Genomic DNA, 21,723 nt, shown 5'->3' on the forward strand with positions numbered 1-21,723 from the left:
CCTGCCACCATGCCTGGCTAATTTTTTGTATTTTTAGTAGAGACGGGGTTTCACCGTGTAGGCCAGATTGGTCTCAAACTCCTGACCTCACATGATGTGATCTACCCACCTCAGCCTCCCAAACTGCTGGGATTACAGGCATGAGCCACCACCCCCAGCCTAGTTTATTTTTGGTTATATCAGTTTTCTTAAAGTGAACGTCATCTTTACCAAGTCCCTAAATTAGGTTACTGTTTATTCAATGAACAAAACATCGAAATAAGATGAAATTAATGATCTTAAGCACTACTTTTACATATTATAGTAACATTCATCTTTTCTCCTAATTTGATCATTAGATTAAGTGCAATAAAACCTTTGAAACTGGTGCCATATTGCCACAAATCTGGGATTCTTACCCCGATCTTGTAGCAGACAGCCTAGTATTTCCCTTTTGAGTTTTACCTTTATGTTGTCTGAGAACCTCGGGGACTTACTCCATCTAAAGATAGCCCATCCTCTTTCTAAGGCCATGCTGAAACAGAATTGGATTCTATTAATAATACTTCTCATGGACATAAGGTATTACTCAAAAATTCATGCTGCCCAGCTCCAATGACACTTGTCCACCCTGAGATGATCTTCTTGCTTGTCCAGGTTCCTGCAAAGACCACAGTGATATTCATATTTAGACTTCTAGCTTGGCCTCTTTACCTATTCAGTCATTGTCCCAAAAATTACAGTGCAATTGAATAAATCTTTTGCTGAGGTCTGAACTAAGGGAGTGACAGTATCCACTGTTTTCTTCCCTGGTGACATGTACTAATTCTGGGCATAGACTCATCCAGCTTGGCCTGGGCAGAGGGAGTTTACACAGAAAAAGAGAAACCAGTGAGATGTTTAACCATCATGTGAGCTGTGAAATGGATTGGAAATATAGAGGAGCCCCAAACATATAGCCAGTTTTCCCACAGGACATTCGCTGAGTTCTGGGGTGGTGCAGGAGGCTGAGCAGCTGGGCGTGATAGGCAGAGTAAAATTACCCCATATTCTACTGCATAGAAAGCTAATTCTGCTTAGAAGGATCCTGCCTCAAATACACAAGCATTCTCCCCCTTCAAGACATTTACACTATTTTTGAAGTTGTATGAGAAGGAGGCTGAAGATCTACGTTTAAAACCTCTCAAAGGCAGAACTGAATCTCAGAGCAGAGGAAACAGCAGCTGTCCAGGCTCTTGATCAAAAGCCCAGAGGAATCACACATGAAGAAGAGAGAGAAACCACAAGAGAACTATCTTACTGAAACCGCACCCCAATCCCAACCCAGCTCATCCTTGATTAGACAGAGATAATCAGAACATCATCCTATTTGTCTATGTTTATCCCTAGAAGAAAATAACATCATCTATATTGTCTATAGATCTTTAATATAAAAGTCTAACATTTGTAAAAAAAAATTATGAGGTGTGAGAAGAGCAGGAAAATTTGACCAACAATCAAGAAAAAAAAAATAATAGAAGATCCACAGATAAGCCAACTATTGAAGTTTAGATAAGAACTTTAAAATAACTATTATGAAATAAAGCCATAGGTTATAAAATAGAAGAAAACATGAACAAGATGGATTAAAATATGCAGAATTTTAAGAGTATTAAAATCCATAAAAAAGAATCAATGGAAAATATTTAACTGAAAAATGTAATTTCTGAAAGGAATATTGCAATGGATCAGTTTAATAGCAACCTGGACACAGCAGAACAGAGGGTTAGTGAATTTGGAGACTGAGCAAGAAAAAATACCTAAACTCAAGCACAGAGAGAAAAACAAATGGAAAAAATAGAACACAGCTTAATAGGCATGTGTACAATGAATAAACCCAGGATAGGTATAACTGGAGCCTTAGAAAAAGAGGAGACAGAGAATGAAGCAGAAGCAATATTTGAAGATATAATAGCCAAGAATTTTACAAAAGTAATGAAAGACATAAAACCACAGATGAAAAAAATATCTCAAAATGAATCCTAGACCTCAATGTATGAGTTAATGCTACCAAACTCTTGTAAGAAAAAAAGGGAGTAAATCTTAGTGACCTTGGGTTAGCCAGTGGTTTCTTATATATGACACAGAAACATAAATGACAGAAGAAAAAAAATAGATAAATTGGACTGCACAGAAATTAAACGTATGCTGCAAACAATATTATCAACAAAGTAAAAAGACAAGAGAATAGGAGACAATATTTGTAAACCACATACTTGATAGGGTACTTAGATCCAGAATTTGTCAAAGATTCTTACAACTCAACAACTAAAACAACCCCCCTTTTTTTGTTAATGGGCAAACAAGTTGAATAGACATTTCTTCAAAAATATGGAAATGACCAATAATCACATGAAAAGATGCTCAACATCTGTAGTCATCAGGGAAATGCAGATCAAGACTACAATGACATGCTACTTCTCACCAAGTAGGATGGCTATAATCAAAAAGATAGACAAGAAAAAGTGTTGAACATGTGGAGAAATTGGAACCCTCTCACATTACCGCTAGGAACTCAAAATGATGGAGCCCCTTAGGAAAACAATTTGGCAGTTCCTCCAAAAGCTAAATGTAGAGTTACTATATTACCCAACAATTCCACTTCTAGAGAAAAGAAACATATGGCCACACAAAAACTTGTACAAAAATGTTCATAGCAGCATTATTCACAATAATCAAAAAGTTTGTAAACAACCCAAATGCTCATCAACTGAAGAAGGAATAAACAAAGTGTGGTATATCTATGCAGTGGAATATTATTCTGCAATATAATGAAATGAAGTGTGGATATATGCTGTGACATCGATGAGTTTTGAAAACATGCCATGTGAAAGAAGCCAGTCACAAAAAAATCACCTATTGTATAATTCCAGTTATATGATATGTCCAGAATAGGCAAACTTACAAAGACAGAAAGTAGGTTAGTAGTTACTTAGGGATAGGGAGTAGATAAGGTTACAGATTAACTGCTAATGACTGTAAGATTTCTTTTAGGGGATGTGAAAATGTTCTAAAATTGGATTATGGCAATGATTGTATAACCCGGTTTAGTATATTAAATACTAAAAAAACACTGACTTAAATATACTTTAAATAGGTGAATTGTGTAGTACGTCAATTGTATCTCACTAAGGCTGTTAAAACAGAAAGAAAAAAACAACCACTCACAAATACAATACACTCAACAAACCCCAAAATGGATAAATGCAACAAAGCAAAGCAAATCTAAGTATATCATCGCCAAACTGCAGCAAAGCTTGTGGGATGTAGTGAAGGCAGTAACTTCAAAGAACATCTGTGGCACGGCACTGTGGCTCACGCCTGTAATCCTAGCACTTTGGGAGGCTGAGGTGGGCAGATCACTTGAGATCAGGAGTTTGAGACCAGCCTGGCCAGCATGGCAAAACCCCATCTTTACCAAAATTACCAAAAAAAATTAGCTGGGCATGATGGCGTGCGCCTGAAATCCTAGCTACTTTGGAGGCTGAGTCACGAGAATTGTTTGAACCTGGGAGATGGACATTGCAGTGAGGTGAGATTGCACCACTGCACTCCAGCCTGGGCCACAGAGCGAGACTCTGTCTTGGGAAAAAAAAAAAAAAGAACATTTGTAGCCTTAAATGTCTTAAGGAAAGAAGGCAGAAAATTAATGAGCTATGTGTTCAACATAAGGAGTTACACAAATAACTACAGGATAAATTCAAGTGAAGATTCCAATGAAGACATCTAGTTGTTTTTATCATGGTGCTTATGCAGGTGAGCTGGGAGCATATCAGCTCATGCATAATTTTTTTTATGTCATCATTTTGTAGGTTCTGGTACTGCCACAGTTCAAGGTGTGGCTATGATCATGTATGGCTGAGATGCATTGGAAGAATATGCCATTGGCAATGAGGAGAGGAGGGAGAATCCAGAGTATTGGGTGGGTCACTCACATAGAGGTTGATGGGAGTTTTGATCTTGTTGCATGAGAACTTCAACATCATAATGACCACCACTTTCCGGAGAAAAAGGTGAAAGAATACTGGTAATTTAATAGACCAGTAGGACTCAAAGAGGTTTAAATAAACCATCTGGTAGTCTATCCTTCGCTTTTGGGTAAGATCAAATTTAACTATATCAAACAAAATTGACTATATAACATCGATGTGTTATAGTCAAAGTCCAAATGTCTCCTTAAATCATCATTAGTGGCCTGTTTACCCCATGATTTTAAAAATTCTGGCCCTCGTTACATCTTAAAATAGTCTCATTGGCTCCTATATGGCTGTTTCTCAAATATATGAGCTTGAAATTCTAAGATACCATTGTTCTTTAATGGAACGTTATCTTCACTCAGTAACGTATTTATCCAAACACCATTCACAAACTTACATTGAGTCGACAAAGGTTAGAAAAATATTGTTTTGGCGGAGCACCTCCTTAGAAAATAATCCCTTTTGTATTGCAGTATTGAATTTTAATCATTTTGAAGGTCTTCATAAATAAATATAGATGCTCTTCATGTTATAAATAATAAATATATTTCTAATATGTTGACACTATGGTTTTCACTTCCCTGAATAATGTACTATTTACTTAAATAATCTCCTGGTGAAGAGGAGCACAGATTCTAGAGCCAGATTGATTACATTTGCACCCCGGCTCTACCACTTAGGGTGATCTCCGAGTTTCAGTTTCCACATCTCTAAAATTAGGATCAGACTACTCCCCAAATCATAAGGTTCTTGTGGGAATGAAGTGGAATAATTAGTGTCTGGTATATAGTAATTGCTGTTTAAATGTTATTGTCATTTTATGGGAAGTCTCCATCTATACTGTATTAAGGTTTCTATAAATAACTCTTATCTGTTTTTAAATGTTTAGATGTTGTCTTTAAAAGCATTTGTTGCTGGGTGCGGTGGCTCATGCCTGTAATCTCAGCACTTTGGGAGGCCGAGATGGGCGGATCATGAGATCAGGAGTTCAAGACCAGCCTGGCAAACGTGGTGAAACCCTGTCTCTACTAAAAAAAAAATACAAAAATTAGTCGGGTGTGGTGGCATGCGCCTGTAGTCCCAGCTACTCAGGAGACTGAGGCAGGAGAATCACTTTAATCTGGGAGGCGGAGGTCGCCGTGAGCTGAGATCTTGCCATTGCACTCTCCAGCCTGGGTGACAGAGCGAGACCCTGTCTCAAAAAAAAAAAAAAAAACAAAACAAAACAAAAAAAAAAAAACAGGCATTTATTATCAAGCTTGGGCTGTAATTGCCTACTTCATCAAAAATGTATCCAATCACTTGTTTGCCCAGGATGGTGGGAGACAAGTTTTGTTTTATTTTTACCAAAAAATGACTGGTTGTAAAAGTCAATTTAATTTTTTTTTTTTGCTCCAGCTTTATAAAAACATATTATTCATTATTTCCCTGCTAAATTCAGCTTAAGATTAAACAGTAGATGCTGTATTAAGAGCAGGCACTCAGTTGAACAAAAGGAAGGGAAAATATTCACATGCAGTGATTTAGCCACTAAAGAGTTGGCCGCTGTCATCATTTTCCTTTGGTTTAGCTCTGTATTTTCAGACAGTGAGGTTTTCTGCTTTCCCCGGACTTTAATGTGTCACAATAAAATCCATGTTAAAATTTCTTTCTTCTAACATCTACAGTTCCAGGATTATCATTAATTTTTCAAAGTTGTCTAGTAACTCACTTAAATCTCTTGAACATTTCAAAATTAGTTTTTGTCCTTGTTCCTTTAACCAACCCAGATATTCTCTTCTACTCTCCTCAATTCAGCCTGAACACAGCAATCATTGCATTTTCCTCATATACAAAGTCTCCAATTAGTTTGCAAAAGGAAATTTTTGCAGACCTCTTCATCATCTAGTCTTTCAGGCCTTACAGCTCGATTTTGGCATTCTGCCGCTGAGCCCTAATATTGTTTGTGATGCCAAATTGGAACACAAGGCAAAACAGTACAAAGTTGCTTTTCACCACGATCAACAGGTCCCAGCAAAGGTCTAGTTTATGTATAGAAATTCCATGCCTCATAAATACGTTATTACATTTACTAAAAGGAGGCAGCATTCTTTACAGTACTGAACTAGCAATATGACCAACACAGAAACAAACAGAGATAGATTAAGGAAAACTTAGTTCCAAATGGTAAGATATGGGAAATTTAAATTTGCTTTCCTAAATATGACTATTGAATCATTCTCATTTTGCTAATCCGTACAGCAATCCAGCTTCATCTCTCTCCACTTCTAATATATAAATATGTAATGCTGTATTATTTTTGCTTGTGACAGAAGGGTGTTTAGTGCCAAGACTCCATAATTAAAGTCTTTTAACTTAAAAAAAATTAAATAATAATAATTTCACCACCAGGGGGCAAACAACATTTTTATAGGCCAAGGATATTTTTAACATTCTAAAGGAATGATCTTGTGTGAACATATTTTTTGTTGTTGTTGTTACCATTTCAATAGCTTCAAGTTAAAAGACACTAATTCGAACCTAAACCTTTAAATTTAAGGAGAAATCATGCTTATAAAAGAGAAAATTGTACAAGTCACCATTAACCTGTTGCTTTTCCATTTACTATAATTTTTAGATGCTTTAAAAAGATTCCCTCCCTTTTACCCTTTTCTTTCATATATTTGCACATGAGGCAGAAAAATAGAATTGAACTTTTTTAATGCCTATGTAGCCTTTGTTTGTGGTGGCCTTTACATTGCTTTTAGTACATAGTATATTGTGGTCACTGGCTTTCTAAGCATGTATTTCAGCTCTGCTTTTTTTGTTAATTTAATATGATTAACTCATATACTTAGATCTCTACTTCCTCCTTTTTTTTTTTTTTTTTTTTTTTTTTTTGAGACAGGGTCTTGCTCTGTTGCCCAGGCTAGAGTGCAGTGGCGTGATCTTGGCTCATTGCAAACTCTGCCACCCGGGTTCAAGCAATTATCCTGCCTCACCCTCCTGAGTAGCTGGGATTACAGGCAGCATACCAACACACCCGGCTAATTTTTGTATCTTTAGTAGAGACGGGGTTTCAGCATCTTGGCCAGGCTGGTCTTGAACTCCTGACCTCGTGACCCATCCGTCTTAGCCTCCCAAAGTGCTAGGATTACACGTGTGAGCCACCGCACCCAGCCTTCTACCTCCTTCTAAAATTGGATTTTTTGTCTCTTGTTTTGGTTACTGCTTTGCCATTTGTTAATTTTATAACTGTGAAATGATAATAACTGGTAAACATATCAAATCACAAATTATCTCTTTTGAGAGCTTGATACACTGAACTTGATAAAGTACCAGAGTTGTGAATAACTAATCCACAAAAAACAAAATGATCAGTACAATATATTATCAGTAGCAGGCAATGATAAGAATAACTTTGGTGAAAATTTTGGTCCATCATATTCTGAAGTTTAAGGATATTTGATTACTTCTGACTTGTAACTTGGTAAAAAATTCTATCAATGGAAGCAAAATAGAGTTTTTAAATCAAGGTATCTGTGGTACAGAAAAACAACCACATTTTATTTCTCTTGGCTTAGTTCGTTTTCCCTTTTTCCTGCTCCTAAGTACCCACGGAGACCACATTTCCCTGAATCGATTATAATGATGCCACTATTTCAAATTAGAGCTGGAGGAGAATGAAGATGTCACAGTGGCCTGGCAAGATCTGCTACTTGTTCTTTCTCTTTACTGCTCTCCCAAGCCTGGTCATTATTTCCACTGTCGCCCCCTGGCATTAGGGCTATCACTATGGGCTGCAGAATTGAGTTATTCACCTAAAGATGAAATCCAGGTGAAATCCATTTCTATCCAGATGAAGTCATACTGAAATAAATGTTGAAAGCAAATATAAGGAGAAAAAGAAGTTGCAAAAGTCAGTGTTAAGGGTTTATTTAGAGGCACACTAAAAAACATTCTATGACCTACTGCCTGTTATATTAGCGATGGAGGGGAACTTAGAGATAAAGCGTTATTTTGTTTATTTGTTTGTTGGTTTTCTCTGTTGTTGATTGGGTTTTTAAAAGATTGTTTTAGCGTGAAATGACAAAATCAGCTTTTTGTCACTGAGTGGGTCCTTAAGCTGTTGCCTAGACACCAATTGCTCAAAGGCTAAACTTTTCACTCTAGTACATCATATCTTGTTTTAGTGACCCCCGAGCATCTTTTTAATCCTTCTCCATTTCATACAGAAACTAGCCTCAGCCAAGTGACCATTCCCACGCTGACTTCCACCAGCTCCTGTGGGTGTACTCTGACAGCACTTTGCCTTGGGGCAAATTTTCTGACCTCTTTTTGATGGCAAATAGTTGTCAATAATACGCTACCTGGCATTTTCTTAAAAAGTTTAATTGCACTTACAGAATTTTGCTAAGATAAGAAATATTTTAACAATGAATGACAAAGAAGCTCATACTATAGTGAGAGCATGGAAACAGATGTTTGAAAGTATTTCCATCATCATAAGATTTTTTTATTTGTCAAAAATGATATATGCCACCAATAAACAATCTCATATTTGGGTCCCCAACAACTTGTTTAAAATCTTCCCAATGAAGATTTTCAGTAAAATTAAAATCCATTTATTCAAAATATAAGAAATTCTCACTTTTCAACTAGCTTTCAAAAACAATTTTTAAAATTTTTTTCTTATTTTTAATTTTTGTGGATACATAGTAGGTGTTTATATTTATGGGATACTTGAGATGTTTTGATATGGCATGCATATCAACCATGCCATGTGAAATAAACACGTCATGGGGAATGGGGTACCCACCCCTCAAGCCTTTATCCTTTGAGTTACAAACAATCCAATTATACTCTTTAAGTTATTTTAAAATAGACAATTAAGTTACTATTGACTATAGCCATCCTATTATGCTATCAAATAGTAGGTCTTATTCATTCTTTTTATTTTTTTGGTACCCGTTAAACATTCCCAACCCACCCCAACACCCCACTACCCTTCCCAGGCTCTGGTAACCATCCTTCTATTCTCTATGTCCATGAGAAGAACAATTATTTGACATCAGGGAGGATGGAAAATAACTAAGCTAAATTTTAGCGAAAACCTTTGCAGGGTTGCTGAACGGAACTGAAAAACGAGTCTATGGCTTAGTGGCAGAGCCAGCCATACACTTCTTTCACTGGGATCTAGGCCTCTTTGCAAGAAATATTTCTTCCCTACGACAGCCACTAAAACTAGGCATCTAAATAAATTGGAATTGGACTCAGACCTTTACTTTATCACAAAGTGTTAAATCAGATTTCAAAATTAACACATCATTTTTTAACCATGTCAGTCTTTAAAAAATGATAGTAATATTCTTCACTTTTTGGGAAAATCCTGTTTAATGAATACTTTGTAATACAATAATTAGAAGGTTGGTCTTAAGGTTGATTTATTTTAAAAAAGTACTTTATCCATTGTTCAATTTTCTTTCAAAACATCTACTTTTTTCTCATTGTTAGAACATCCCCTTTATCTCAAAAGAATACACGATGTGTTTATTTATTTGTTTACTTATTTTTTAATTTTTTTATTTTTGAGATGGAGTCTCGCTCTGTTGCCCAGGCTGGAGTGCAGCGGTGCCATCTCAGCTCACTGCAACCTCCACCTCCTGGGTTCAAGGGATTCTCCTGCCTCAGCCTCCCGAGTATCTAGGACTACAGGCTCCCACCACCATGTCCGGCTAATTGTGTATTTTTAGTAGAGACGGGGTTTCACCATGTTGGCCAGGCTGGTTTCGAATTCCTGACCTTGGGATCCACCCGCCTCAGCCTCCCAAAATGCTAGGATTACAGGCGTGAGGCACCGCACCTGGACCTTGTTTTTTATTTTTAAGAGATGGGATTTCACTCTTTCACCCAGGGTGGAATGTAGTGGCAGTATCATAGCTCACTGTAATTTCAAACTCCTGGACTCCAGCAATTCTCTTACCTCTCAGCCTCCCAGGTAGCTGGGACTACAGGTGAGTGCCACCACACTTAGTTAATTTTTAAATTTTTTGTAGAGATGGGATCTTGTATGTTACCCAGGCTGGTCTCGAACTCCTAGGCTCAAGCAATCCTCCCACCTTGGCCTCCCAAAGCTCTGGGATTACATGCGTGAGGCACCATGCCCAGCTTCAAAATATGTTTATTTAATATTTAATTGAAAAGCCTTGTGTCTTCCCATCACACTAAGAATAAATTCCTGTTCTTTAAAATCCTATATAACCTGGCCCCTGCCTACCTTCAGCCTTATCTCCTTCCAGCCTTCCTCTCCCTGCACTGGTCTTCCTTAGGAGCACACCAAGCTCATCTGTCTTGGGGCCGTCACACTTCCTCTGCTCCAAAGCTCTGCTTCCTGATCTTTGCATGACTGGCTTCTTCCCTTCATTCAGGCCTGCATTTAAATTTCATCACCCTACATAGGCCAATCCCAATCACTGCAGGGGCCAAGAGAAAACTTTCTCTTCACCCTCTAAAGGCCCAGCTTCCTGAAAACCAGTGGACAAAAGTCAGATGAATAGGAGAAAAGGCATGTGCATGGGGGAGAATCACAGAGTGATTAATTCACCATACAATGGGGTATGGATGGTTATATACCCTTCCTCTTAGGGGAAAGGGAGGTGGGGAAGTGTGAAAGATTTTAGGGGAGTGGCAAATTATTTTTAGGCAAATTCAACAGTCTTGAAGAATATACAGTGGACTGGGACAAAGTCTGTTGGGCCTGCAGAACAGACAGTGGTTTGTGACAAGTCTGTCCAGGTGTGTTGACAGACTTCAGTCTTTCTTCGGGCCCTGTGAGTTCAGTTAATGAAATACACTCAGGGAAGGCAACAGAGGTAATTATTTTCTTTGACAGGCCCAAATTTTAAGCAGATAAGGGAACTTCAGAGAACAGCTTCATCCTTTGCTTTGACAGAGACAACAGATGAGAGACAGAAGGTGGGGGGATAGTCAGAGAGACCTTGAGGCTTCGTCTTCAGTTCCACATGTCTAAGCACCATATTTTGGGATATCTGTTTCTGAGCCCCAACATCACCTAACTTAAAAAAACATCACTACCTTATTAAATCATCTGCATAGCACTTCTCTGCTACCACTTGGTTAATTTCCCTTGTTTATGCATCATTTGTTTATTGTCTGATTTGCTCACTAGAATGCAAGCTCCATGATAGCAAGGACTTTATCTTGTTCATTCCTCTAACTAGTGATTAGCCTACATTGGGCTTTCAATAAATATTATTGAATTTAAAAATGAAGACTCCTGTCTCTCTCTCAGAGTTATAACCGACGGTATTATGTCAGATTCCTGCCAGATATATGACTGTATTACATCAGATTCCTACAAAAAAACAATCAAGTAAGCTATAGTAAAGTATCCAGCTCTAAGTAAGCTACTACTTCCAAGATGACGTCCATGTTTCACTACCCGGGGCCAAGTGAAGGACTTGGTAAAGGATGTGATGAATTGACTCACCGGCTGTATTGATGAAAATCATTGGTTACATTGGTAACAAGTCCAAAGTTAACTCTGACTCCACAGAAACACTGCTTGCAATTACTCATTTTTGATTAGTATGTATTAAACTATTCATGACTCAAAAACAAGTTAGATACTAAGATGGTGCCATAATGAATAATATGTCCAAAAGTTCTTCAATCACATAAAAATTCTCATTGCCATCCTGAGTAAATATAGCCAAGAAATTCTGATTTATATTATGTTCTTCTCAGTTGTGGTAGGACTTGCCACAGATAATTTCTCAAGATTTCCTGCAAGTTCAAGGTCATGCTTTCAACAGACCGAGCAGCAGTATTTTCAGGAAGACAGAGATATGCAAATGCTATGACAATTTTACGTACTCATTAGAAAAGATTTTTAAGCCCAGCCAGTTCTTTGATTTGGTACACAATTGCATTTCACAGAAACAATGTTTTCATTCATATTCAAAAGCATTGTTTGTCAATATTTCAGTTAATGTTATCTTTCATTAGCTTTATCATCACATATCTTAGGTAAGGTCATAGTTGTAAAAAGTTGTTTCATAATGACCTCTCAAGCTGTATTCTTTTGACACGGAAACATTTTGTTTTAAGTACAGAGGAATAGTCTCATTTCCAAAAGAATAATGCTTATGCCCATTTTCCTTTTTCCCTGAAACTTAAAGCTTCATGGTAGGGTTGTCAGATTTAGCAAATAAAAATACAGGATACCTAATTAAATTGAATGTCAGATAAGCAACTATTGCATGAGACATACTTATATGAAAAAGTCATTCGTTGTTTATCTGACATTCAGATATAACTGGGTATGTTATCTGGCCACCCTGGTCTATCTTCGTTTTTCCCACTTTTGATAGAGACATAGGTTGAAATATACTCAGATGGTTTCCAGGAAGTAACGACATCTTTAATACTTTCTTGTTAGTGATCTTTAAATGTTGTCAGCTTTTAAAAATCGAAGTAGGGAACTAATACTTCTGACCAAGATGAATATCGGAAGTCTGAAACACTGAAAAAAAAACTCAGATAAAATAAATGAAATATCAGTTCTCAAGATGTTGGAAATCAGGCCACCGAAGGATTTCATTATGTCAAACAATTAAACAGCAAATATTGACTCAGCTTTTACCATGTCGTAAGTCATTGTATTACAACATGCCACAAACACAAGAAGAGAAAAAAAAGACAATCTCTCAGTCCTTGGAGAATTTACAATTTGGTAGGAAAGATAACACGGATACACACAAAAAGATAATAAACAGTACAAGGAAGTAGGTGGTAAGTGCCAAAAGAGTAACACAGATAAGAGGAGGCAGGAGATCAGTTTCATCTGTGTCTTTGGAGAAACAGTCAAGCTAAAGGCCTCAAAGGGAGAGAGGACAGGAAAGAGAGTATTTCACTAAATGCTTTACATTCATTATTCCATTTAAGCCTCCCAATAACCCTACAAGGGAGTTATTATTATGATCACCAGTTTCCAGCTGAAAAAAGAATGAGCAGGTCTGAGAAACTTAACTATGGCTACACAGCTAGTAAGCAGCATCTCCACCTCCACCAGGTCCTCCTGACCCCAGAGCCTAAGCTTTTAACTACTAGTGCTACCTCTGAGATGAGGGGGGGAGTAGACTGGAAGCTCTACTGTTACATGAAACTCCTAGAGTTTTGAGTGGGAAAGCAAGATAAAATGACTATTTTAGAAAATGAATTCTTCACACACCATCCCAGACATTCTGGATACAAATGTCATTTGATCACATTGGATTGCAAGGAGACTAAAGAGAGTCAAAGATCAGAAACACTGTGAAATCAAAACAAACTGAAATGAGCTGGTGGTTATTTGCATATATAGGCAAGAGAGAAAGGGAAAAATCAAAGGTAAATGCAAGGCTAAAGATTACAGATACACACACACACACACACACACACACACTCTATTAGAACTAGTAAATTCAGCAAAGTTGCAGGATACAAAATAATCACACGAAAATCAGTTGTGTTTCTATATACTAACAATAAAAAACCTAAAAAGGAAATTTATAAAACAGCTCTATTTTCAATAGCATCAATAACAATAAAAAATTTAGGAATAAACTTAACCAAGCCAAGGGAAAAGAACTATAAAAACTATAAAACATTGCTGAAAGAAATGAAAGACAACACTAATAAATGGAAAGACATCCTGTGTTCATGGATTGGAAGACAATATCATGAAGATGTCAATACTATTCAATGTGATCTACAGAGGCAATGTAATCCCTATCAAAATCCCACCAGTGATTTTTGCAAAAGGAGAAAAATCCATACTAAAATTCATGTGGAATCTCAAAGGACTTCAAATAGCCAAAACAATCTTTAAAAAGAACAGAGTTGGAGGACTCACAATTCCTGATTTCAAAATTTACTACAAAGCTACAGTAATCAAAACAGTGTGGTACTGGCATAAGGACGGACATATAGACCAATGGAATAAAAGAGAGAAATAACCCTTCTCATATACCTTACAGTATATGAAATAACCCTTCCCATGTACCATATTGTCAAATGGTGCCAGAAATAACCCTTCTCATATACCATATGGTCAAATGATATTCCACAAGGGTGCTAAGACCATTCAATGGGAGAAGAACAGTCTTCAACAAATAGTGCAGGGAAAACTGGATATCTACATGCAAAATCATAAAGTTAACCCCTTCCTTCACATCACATAAAATATTAGCTTAAAATGAATCAGCTGGGCATGGTGGCTCACACATGTAATCCCAGCACTTTGGGAGATTGAGGCAGATGGATCACCTGAGGTCAGGAGTTCTAGACCAGCCTGGCCAACATGGTGAAACCCCGTCTCTACCAAAAATACAAAAATTATCCCGTTATCCTGGCATGGTGGTGTGCGCCCATAATCCCAGCTACTCAGGAGACTGAGGCACAAGAATCACTTGAACCCGGGAGGCACAGGTTGCAGGGGGCTGAGATCGCCCCACTGCACTCCAACCTGGGCGACAGAGCGAGACTCAATCTCAAAAATGAATCAAAGATCTAAACATAATAGCTAAAACTGTAACTCTTAAAATACAGAGGGATTTGGCAATTATTTCTTGGACATGACACCAATAGTACAGGCAACAAAGGAGAAAAATAGGTAAATTGGAATTTATCAAAATTAAAACCTTTTGTGCATTAAAGGTTACCATCAACAAAGTGAAAAGGCAAATCATATACCTGATAAGGGAGGGATTAATATCCAGAATATATAAAGAGCAATTCTACAACAACAACAGCAAAAACAACCCCCAAAATGGGCTAAGGATTTGAACGGATATTTCTTCAAAGAAGATATATAGATGGCCACAAGCACATGAAAAGATGTCCAGCATCACTTATCATTAGGGAAATGCAAATCAAAACTGCAATGAGAAATCCCTTTGCACCCATTGGTATGCCTGTTATAAACAAAATGAAAAGGAAAATAGAAGTACTGTGAGAATGTGGAGACACTGGAACCTTTATGCATTACTGGTGGGAATGTAAAATGGTTCAACTGCTGTAGGAAATGGTATAGCAGTTCTTCATTCAACACAGAATTAACAAATGATCTAGCAATTCCACTCCTGGGTCTACACCCAAAAGAACTTAAAGCAAGGACTAAAACAGATATTTGTATACCCATTTACATAGCACAATTATTCACAATAACCAATTAGTGGAAGAAATCCAAATGTCTACTGATGGATGAATGGATAAACAAAATGTGGCATATACATAAAGTTGAATATCATTCAGCCTCAAAAAGAAATGAAATTCTGACACATACTACAACATAGATGAACCTTGAAGACATTATGCTAAGTGAAATAAGTCGCACAAAAATACAAATACTGTATGATTTGTACACCATACAGGTACCTAGAGTAGTCAAATTCATAGAGACAGAATGTAAAATGGTGGTTGCCAGGGGGTTGGGCGAAAGGAGAATGGAGAGTTAGTGTTTAATTGATACAGTTGGATAAGATAAAAGAGTTTTGGAGATGGATGGTAGTGTGGTCAAACAACAATGTGAATGTGCTTAATGCCACTGAACTGTATACTTAAAAATGCCTAAAAGGCTGGGCACGGTGGCTCATGCCTGTAATCTCAGCACTCTGGGAGGCCGAGTCAGGCAGATCACCTGAGATTGGGAGTTTGAGAACAGCCTGACCAATATGGAGAAACCTTGTCTCTACTAAAAATACAATATTAGCCGGGCACCATGGTGCGTGACTGTAATCCTAGCTACTCACGAGGCTGAGGCAGGAGAATCGTTTGAACCGGAGAGGCAGAGGTTACGGTGAGCCGAGACTGCACCATTGCACTCCAGCCTGGGCAACAAGAGCGAAACTCCATCTCAAAAAAAAAAAAAATTACCTAAAATGGTACTCCACATTATGTATATTTTATCACAATAAAAAAATTAAAAAATATGTAATCCATAAATCCATGCAACTGTGCACTCAGAAACTACAGTATACCATTGTAACCACTCTGATTGTGGAAAATCCACTCTTCCCTCAGCATGCCCTGTGTGGCATATGTGATTTGTAGTTCTCTGAAATCTTAATCAAGAAAGGGCATCAGCATAAAATGTGTATTACATATTACATAAAGCTTAATTCTTTATTTTTTTCAGAGAAAAAAATAGAAGCTCTAATGTTTTCTTCTCGGACTGTGCCCTTTTGGAGGGACCATTTGTTTAAAGGAAAGGAAGAAAAGAGAGGCCAACAAAGACTGACAAGGTATAGTGAGCAAGGTCTGAGAATAACAAAAACAGTGTGTGCCTTGGAAGCAAAAGGAAGAAGGGGAGATAGAGTAGTTCACTGTGTACAATGCTGTTTGCAGGAGAGTAAGTTAAATGCAGTACCAGGTGTGGTGGCTGAAGCCTGTAATCCCAGGACTTTGGGAGGCCGAGACTGGAGGATTGCTGGAGCCCAGGAGTTGGAGACCAGCCTGGATGACATGGCAAAACCTCATCTCTACAAAAAATACAAAATTAGCCAGGTGTGGTGGCACAGGCCTGTAGTCCCAGCTACTTGGGAGGCTGAGGTGAGAGGATCACTGAAGCCCAGGAGTTCAAGGTTGCAGTGAGCTATGATTGCACCACTGCACTCCAGACTGGGCAATAGAGTGAGACCCTGTCTCTAATAAATTAAAAATCAAAAATTTAAAAATAATAAGTGCAGAGATGGGATCCTGGGGTTGGCAACATAAAGGACAGCAGAGACCTCGGCAAGAGTGATCTCCATGGTGTGATATGGACGGAAACTGGATGGAGTGGATTGAAGACAAGGTATGACAGGAAGAAGTGGAAACAGTAATTATATCACTGCCTTCAAAATGCTGTGCTTTGAAAGGGAGCACAGGAATGAGAGGGGAATTTGAAAGGTGCCATGATGCTAAATTAGATGTTGTTGTTGTTTTGTTTATTTATTTATTTTTTGAGACTGAATCTCGCTCTGTCGCCCAGGCTGGAGTGCAGTGGCATGATCTCAGCTCACTGCAACCTCCGCCTCCCCAGGTTAAAGCAATTCTCCTGTCAGCCTCCAGAGTAGCTGGGAGTAGCTGGGATGACAGGCACCTGCCACCACGCCCAGCTAATTTTTGTATTTTTAAGTAGAGACATGGTTTCACCATATTGGCCAGGCTGGTTTCAAACTCCTGACCTCAAATGATCTGCCCGCCTCAGCCTCCCAAAGTGCTGGGATTACAGGCATGAGTCACCTCACCTGACCTGTTATTGTTGTTTTATTATGGCAGATTACAGCATGTTTGGATGCTGGCAGGAAAAATCTAGAGGAACTGTAGAAGCAGAGTTCTTGAGCACAAGAAAGAGGACAGGGTCCAGAGCCACTGGGAGGAGATGGCAGAGAGAGGAGCGGGGTGGGGTGTGGGCAGGTAATACAGTGACTTTGGTGAAGGAGGGTTGAAGAGGGTCTTGTCTGATGAAGTGAGGTGAAGGAAGGAGAACTGTACATAGGTTACCTGATGGGAAAGAAGGTATTACATACCCAGCTTGGAGTTGGAAGAGGAAATATTTCAGGGATGTAAGAGGATCCTGGGAAGTACTGAGTACCCTTTGAGATCTGCAGTTACAGATTTATAGTGAGACTGTTCAGCAGGGCCATGTGTTTTTCTTCAGCAACACTTGGCTACTCAGGGACAGGCACAGCACAGACAGATGGTTGGTCTTAACCAGATTGGGGCTTTGCCAAAGTACAGCGGAGGAGAGAGACAAGAAGGAAGTTAATGAGGGTTGCAAAGCGTGCATTGGTGAAAGGTAGAAAGAGAATATTAGGGTGCAGACAGGGTTGGGTCCTTGTTGATGAAAAGGTCGTTGTCATAACAGTGGGTATCTGAAGTGGGTTAAGGAAGAGATATTTGGAGGCAAGAAGTCAAGGGACTGAGAGGCCATGGTACAAATGTGTGGCAGTGGGGCTATGTCACTGCAGCACAGGGCTTAGGACAGTCTAATCTGATCCTCCACAGTTCCACCTTGGCCAGAGATGTGGTTTTTGCTCCATGCCTCTATCCCTACACAAGATGACCAAGTTCTCCACCTTCTGATCAAGGACATTAGTAAATGTCCAGAAACAACGGGATGTCCCCAGTGGGTGGGAGCTTCCTTCCCGCTTGATGCTTGTTCGGCACTGAGTCCTGTCTACTCCACTTCCTGGTTCTTGCCACTGTGAGTCTGTCTTGCCCTCCCCCGCCCCGCCCCCTTTCATTTCAAGAACTCTGTTCTTTCTAGGCTTTCCTCTTCTTTGCAAACCATTTCCATTACCCTCTCTTTCTAGGTAAGCCTGTGTCAGAGTCTTTTTGTCTCATATTCACAGCAGAGGCATATGTGAGTTTTTGCTTCTTCATTGTGTGCTGGGATAGAGGAAAACTGCCTTCAGGCTTTTAGAGAGAGCAAAAAGAGGAGATAAATACACAGAAAACACTCAGGAAATTAGAGATGCACCCTGTCTCAGATGGATTATCCACAAGGCCATTGGAGTCATCAGAAAATGAAGACAGGAGTAGACGTGGAAGAGAGTGGGCCCAGTGTGAAAGTCATCAGTGATTGAGGGGGAGGATCAAGACAGATAGATGCCAGCAACAGAGGGGCAGCAGATGGAAAGTTTGTTGATGTGAACTTTGAAGGACAGTAGGAGTCATAAAGCCTGGAGACAGCATTTGGGGAGCAAAGAGGATTGTCTCCTCCTCCAGGTCCCGGGTGTCTGAAGCCTAAGAGGGATAAACAGTCTGCACTTTGGAGGCAAAATGCTGTATCAGGAGGCAAAGAGCTTTCCATTGCAGATGGAAAGGTCTATAAGGAACAAGATCCTCTGTCTGTCATGTTCAGCTTCACATCTCCAGCACCTTGTACAATGCAATGAGTGCCTGATGTGTGCTCAACAAATGTGTGTTGAGTAAGTGGAAGGGAAGTTAACTGAATCTGGTATTTATATTTCAGTCACATGCCACAACCCCATCACTCTTCGGAAGAAATGACAGTCTCTATCTTACTGACCCAGGAGATATGACTCTCGGGGGAACAAAGAACCTTCCTGGAGCCTTGTACATATTCGTGATGCCCAACAGAGCACCAATAACAGCACCTGATTATGCCCTTTGCTCACCTCTTAGCTCCCATTACCTCTAGCAGCGACAGAAGATAATAACTCAAGTGTTCTCTGTCCTTCTGATTGATCTGGCTTTCTATTGTTAAGAGTTTTGGGGAATTTTACAGGCCATTAAGTAATAAACCTTTGTTCTCCCTCTTAGCTCAAAACCAAATAAGAAATAGATGCTAGAATCAAGCATACTGACATAAAAATACCAGCTTTATTACTGATAAGACTTAACTGAAGATTACAATCTGAGCTATAGCCATTATCAGTATCCCTAAAAAGTCCCCTTCTCTACAGGACTCTGCTGACCTTGGAAAGGTTCAGGAAAGGTGGGCAAGGAGTAGTTGACCTTCATCAACAAAGAAAATTTAGAGAAGACTGGACCACACATGCTCTGTCCTTTCAAAAATAAATTACTTCCCAGGTTTGGGGAGAAGTGAGTGAAGGGACAGAGAAAACCTTGAAGGTTCCTCCCATATTTCTCTCTCTTACTGAGTGGACATTTTCTCCTTTCTTTGAAAATATGAAGAGGAGGATAGAGGGCTTCCTTCTAACACATACTAACTTTTAATTCTCCTACTGTGCTCAGTTCAGTATATGGTCAACCAGGATGGGCTGTTCCCATAGAAAAAGGGATCTGCTGCTTCTCAGGAAGGTGCTTCCCGCCTTCAGGGGAGACCCTTCCTCACCAACCATATCAGCCCCGGTTGATTCATACATCTTTCTAACATCACTGGTTGAACATTTAAATTTTCCCCACTGAAATGTCTGAAATGGTGAGAAGAATAACTATTGAATTAATCATACATCTACTAATTTGACCTGTCTTCCCACCCTTTTCTGTCTTCCCAGACTCTTCTGCTGTGACCTCTGGATCTCATGATATATCATTCGTAAACTCCCCTATCCCCCTAACATCTGGCTGGTTAAAATGTGAGTCATGGTACGTTTTAACACCAAAACATAACTGCTAGGGTTTGAATGTGTCCGCTCCAAAATGCAGGAGTTGCCAATGTGATAGTATTAAGATATGGGGCCTTTAAGAGGTGGTTAGACCATGAACCATGAGGACCTCTCCCTAGTGAATGAGATTAAGGCTCTTATACAAGAGGCTTCACACAGCCTTGGGCTCTCTTGTCTTTTAGCCTTCCGTGATGTAAGAACATAGTGTTCCTCCCCTCCAGAGGATGCAGCCCTTACCAGATAACCAAATCTGCTGGTGTCATGAGCTTAGACTTCCCAGCCTCCAGAATTGTCAAAAAATGAACTTATTTTCTTTATAAATTACCCAGTCTGTGGTATTCCGTTATAACAGCACAAGTGAACCAAGACACATACATAGCTATCAGTTAAATTTCTGGGTCATTTAATAACTCTATGTTTAAGTTTCTAAGGAATCGCCAAGCTGTTTTCCAAGTGGTTGTATCATTCCACTTCTCTACCAGCAATATATGAGGGTTCCCATTTTATAGCCTCACCAACACTTATTATCTTCTGTTTTTTAAAATTATAGCTATCCTAGTGGGTGTGAAGTGGTATCTCATTTTGGTTTTAATTGCATTTTCCTAGTGACTATGCCACTAAGCATCTTTTCACGTGCTTATTATATATTTGCATATCTTCTTTGGAAAAATGTCTACTTAAATCATTTGCTTATTTTAAATTGAGTAGTCTTTTTATTAATGAGTTATAAGAATTCTTTATATATTCCGAACATAATTTCCTCATCTGAGACATACAAATATTTTCTTTATTCTGTGGGTGTTTTTTCACTTTCTTGATGGTACCCTTTGAAGCACAAAAGATTTTAGTTATGATGAAGTACAATTTATGTGTTTTTTTGTTGCTGTGTTTCTGGAACCCATAGCCTAATCCAAGGTCATAAAGATTTATGCCTATGTTTCCTTCTAAGAGTTTTGTATTTTAGTCCTTTTCCCCCTTTTTGGTAATAGCTTTATTGAGATATAATTCATATGCCATACAATTCATCCATTTAAAGTATACAATCCAATAGTATTTAGTGTAGTCATGGAGTTGTGTAACCATCACAATTAATTTTAGAACATTTTCATCACCTCCAAAAAAAGTCCTGTACCATTTAGCTATCATGTCCTATTCTTCTCAACCCAACTCCCCAGCCTGAGGCAACTGCTAATCTACTTTCAGTCTCCATAGATCTGCCTATTCTAGAAATTTCATATAACTGGAATCACATTTGTGGTCTTCTGTGACTGGCTCTTTCACTTAGCATAATGCTTTCAAGGTTCAACCAGGTTGTAGCATATATCAGTACTTCATTCAGGCCAAATAATGTTCCATTGTATGGATATATCACTTTTGCCTATCCATTCATTGGTTGATGGACATTTGAGTTATTCCTATTTTGGGAATATTATAAACAATATTGCTATAAATATTCTCTCAATTTTTATTTATCTGAGGATGTTTTAATTTTTCTTTCATTTTTGAAGGATAGTGTTTCTGAAAAAATGCTTGATTGACAGTGTTTTCTTTCAGCATTTTGAATATATCATTCCACTGCCTTCTGGCCTCCACGATTTCTGATATAT

The 21,723-nt window shown here is 38.7% G+C and overlaps 2 annotated features.

Moving 5' to 3' along the window:
- Nucleotides 10,145–10,439: a silencer, noted in NCBI's record as "tiled region #4958; HepG2 Repressive non-DNase unmatched - State 24:Quies". NCBI's record gives its function as "represses a minimal TATA promoter and a strong SV40 promoter by Sharpr-MPRA in HepG2 cells {active_cell/tissue: HepG2}" and the evidence as "EXISTENCE:reporter gene assay evidence [ECO:0000049][PMID:27701403]".
- Nucleotides 17,646–18,079: an enhancer, noted in NCBI's record as "nonconserved acetylation island sequence 68". NCBI's record gives its function as "activates a minimal heat-shock promoter by reporter assays in Jurkat T cells {active_cell/tissue: Jurkat}" and the evidence as "EXISTENCE:reporter gene assay evidence [ECO:0000049][PMID:17135569]".

This window comes from Homo sapiens, chromosome 10 (assembly GCF_000001405.40).
Source record: "Homo sapiens chromosome 10, GRCh38.p14 Primary Assembly".
Classification (NCBI taxonomy): Eukaryota; Metazoa; Chordata; class Mammalia; order Primates; family Hominidae; genus Homo; species Homo sapiens.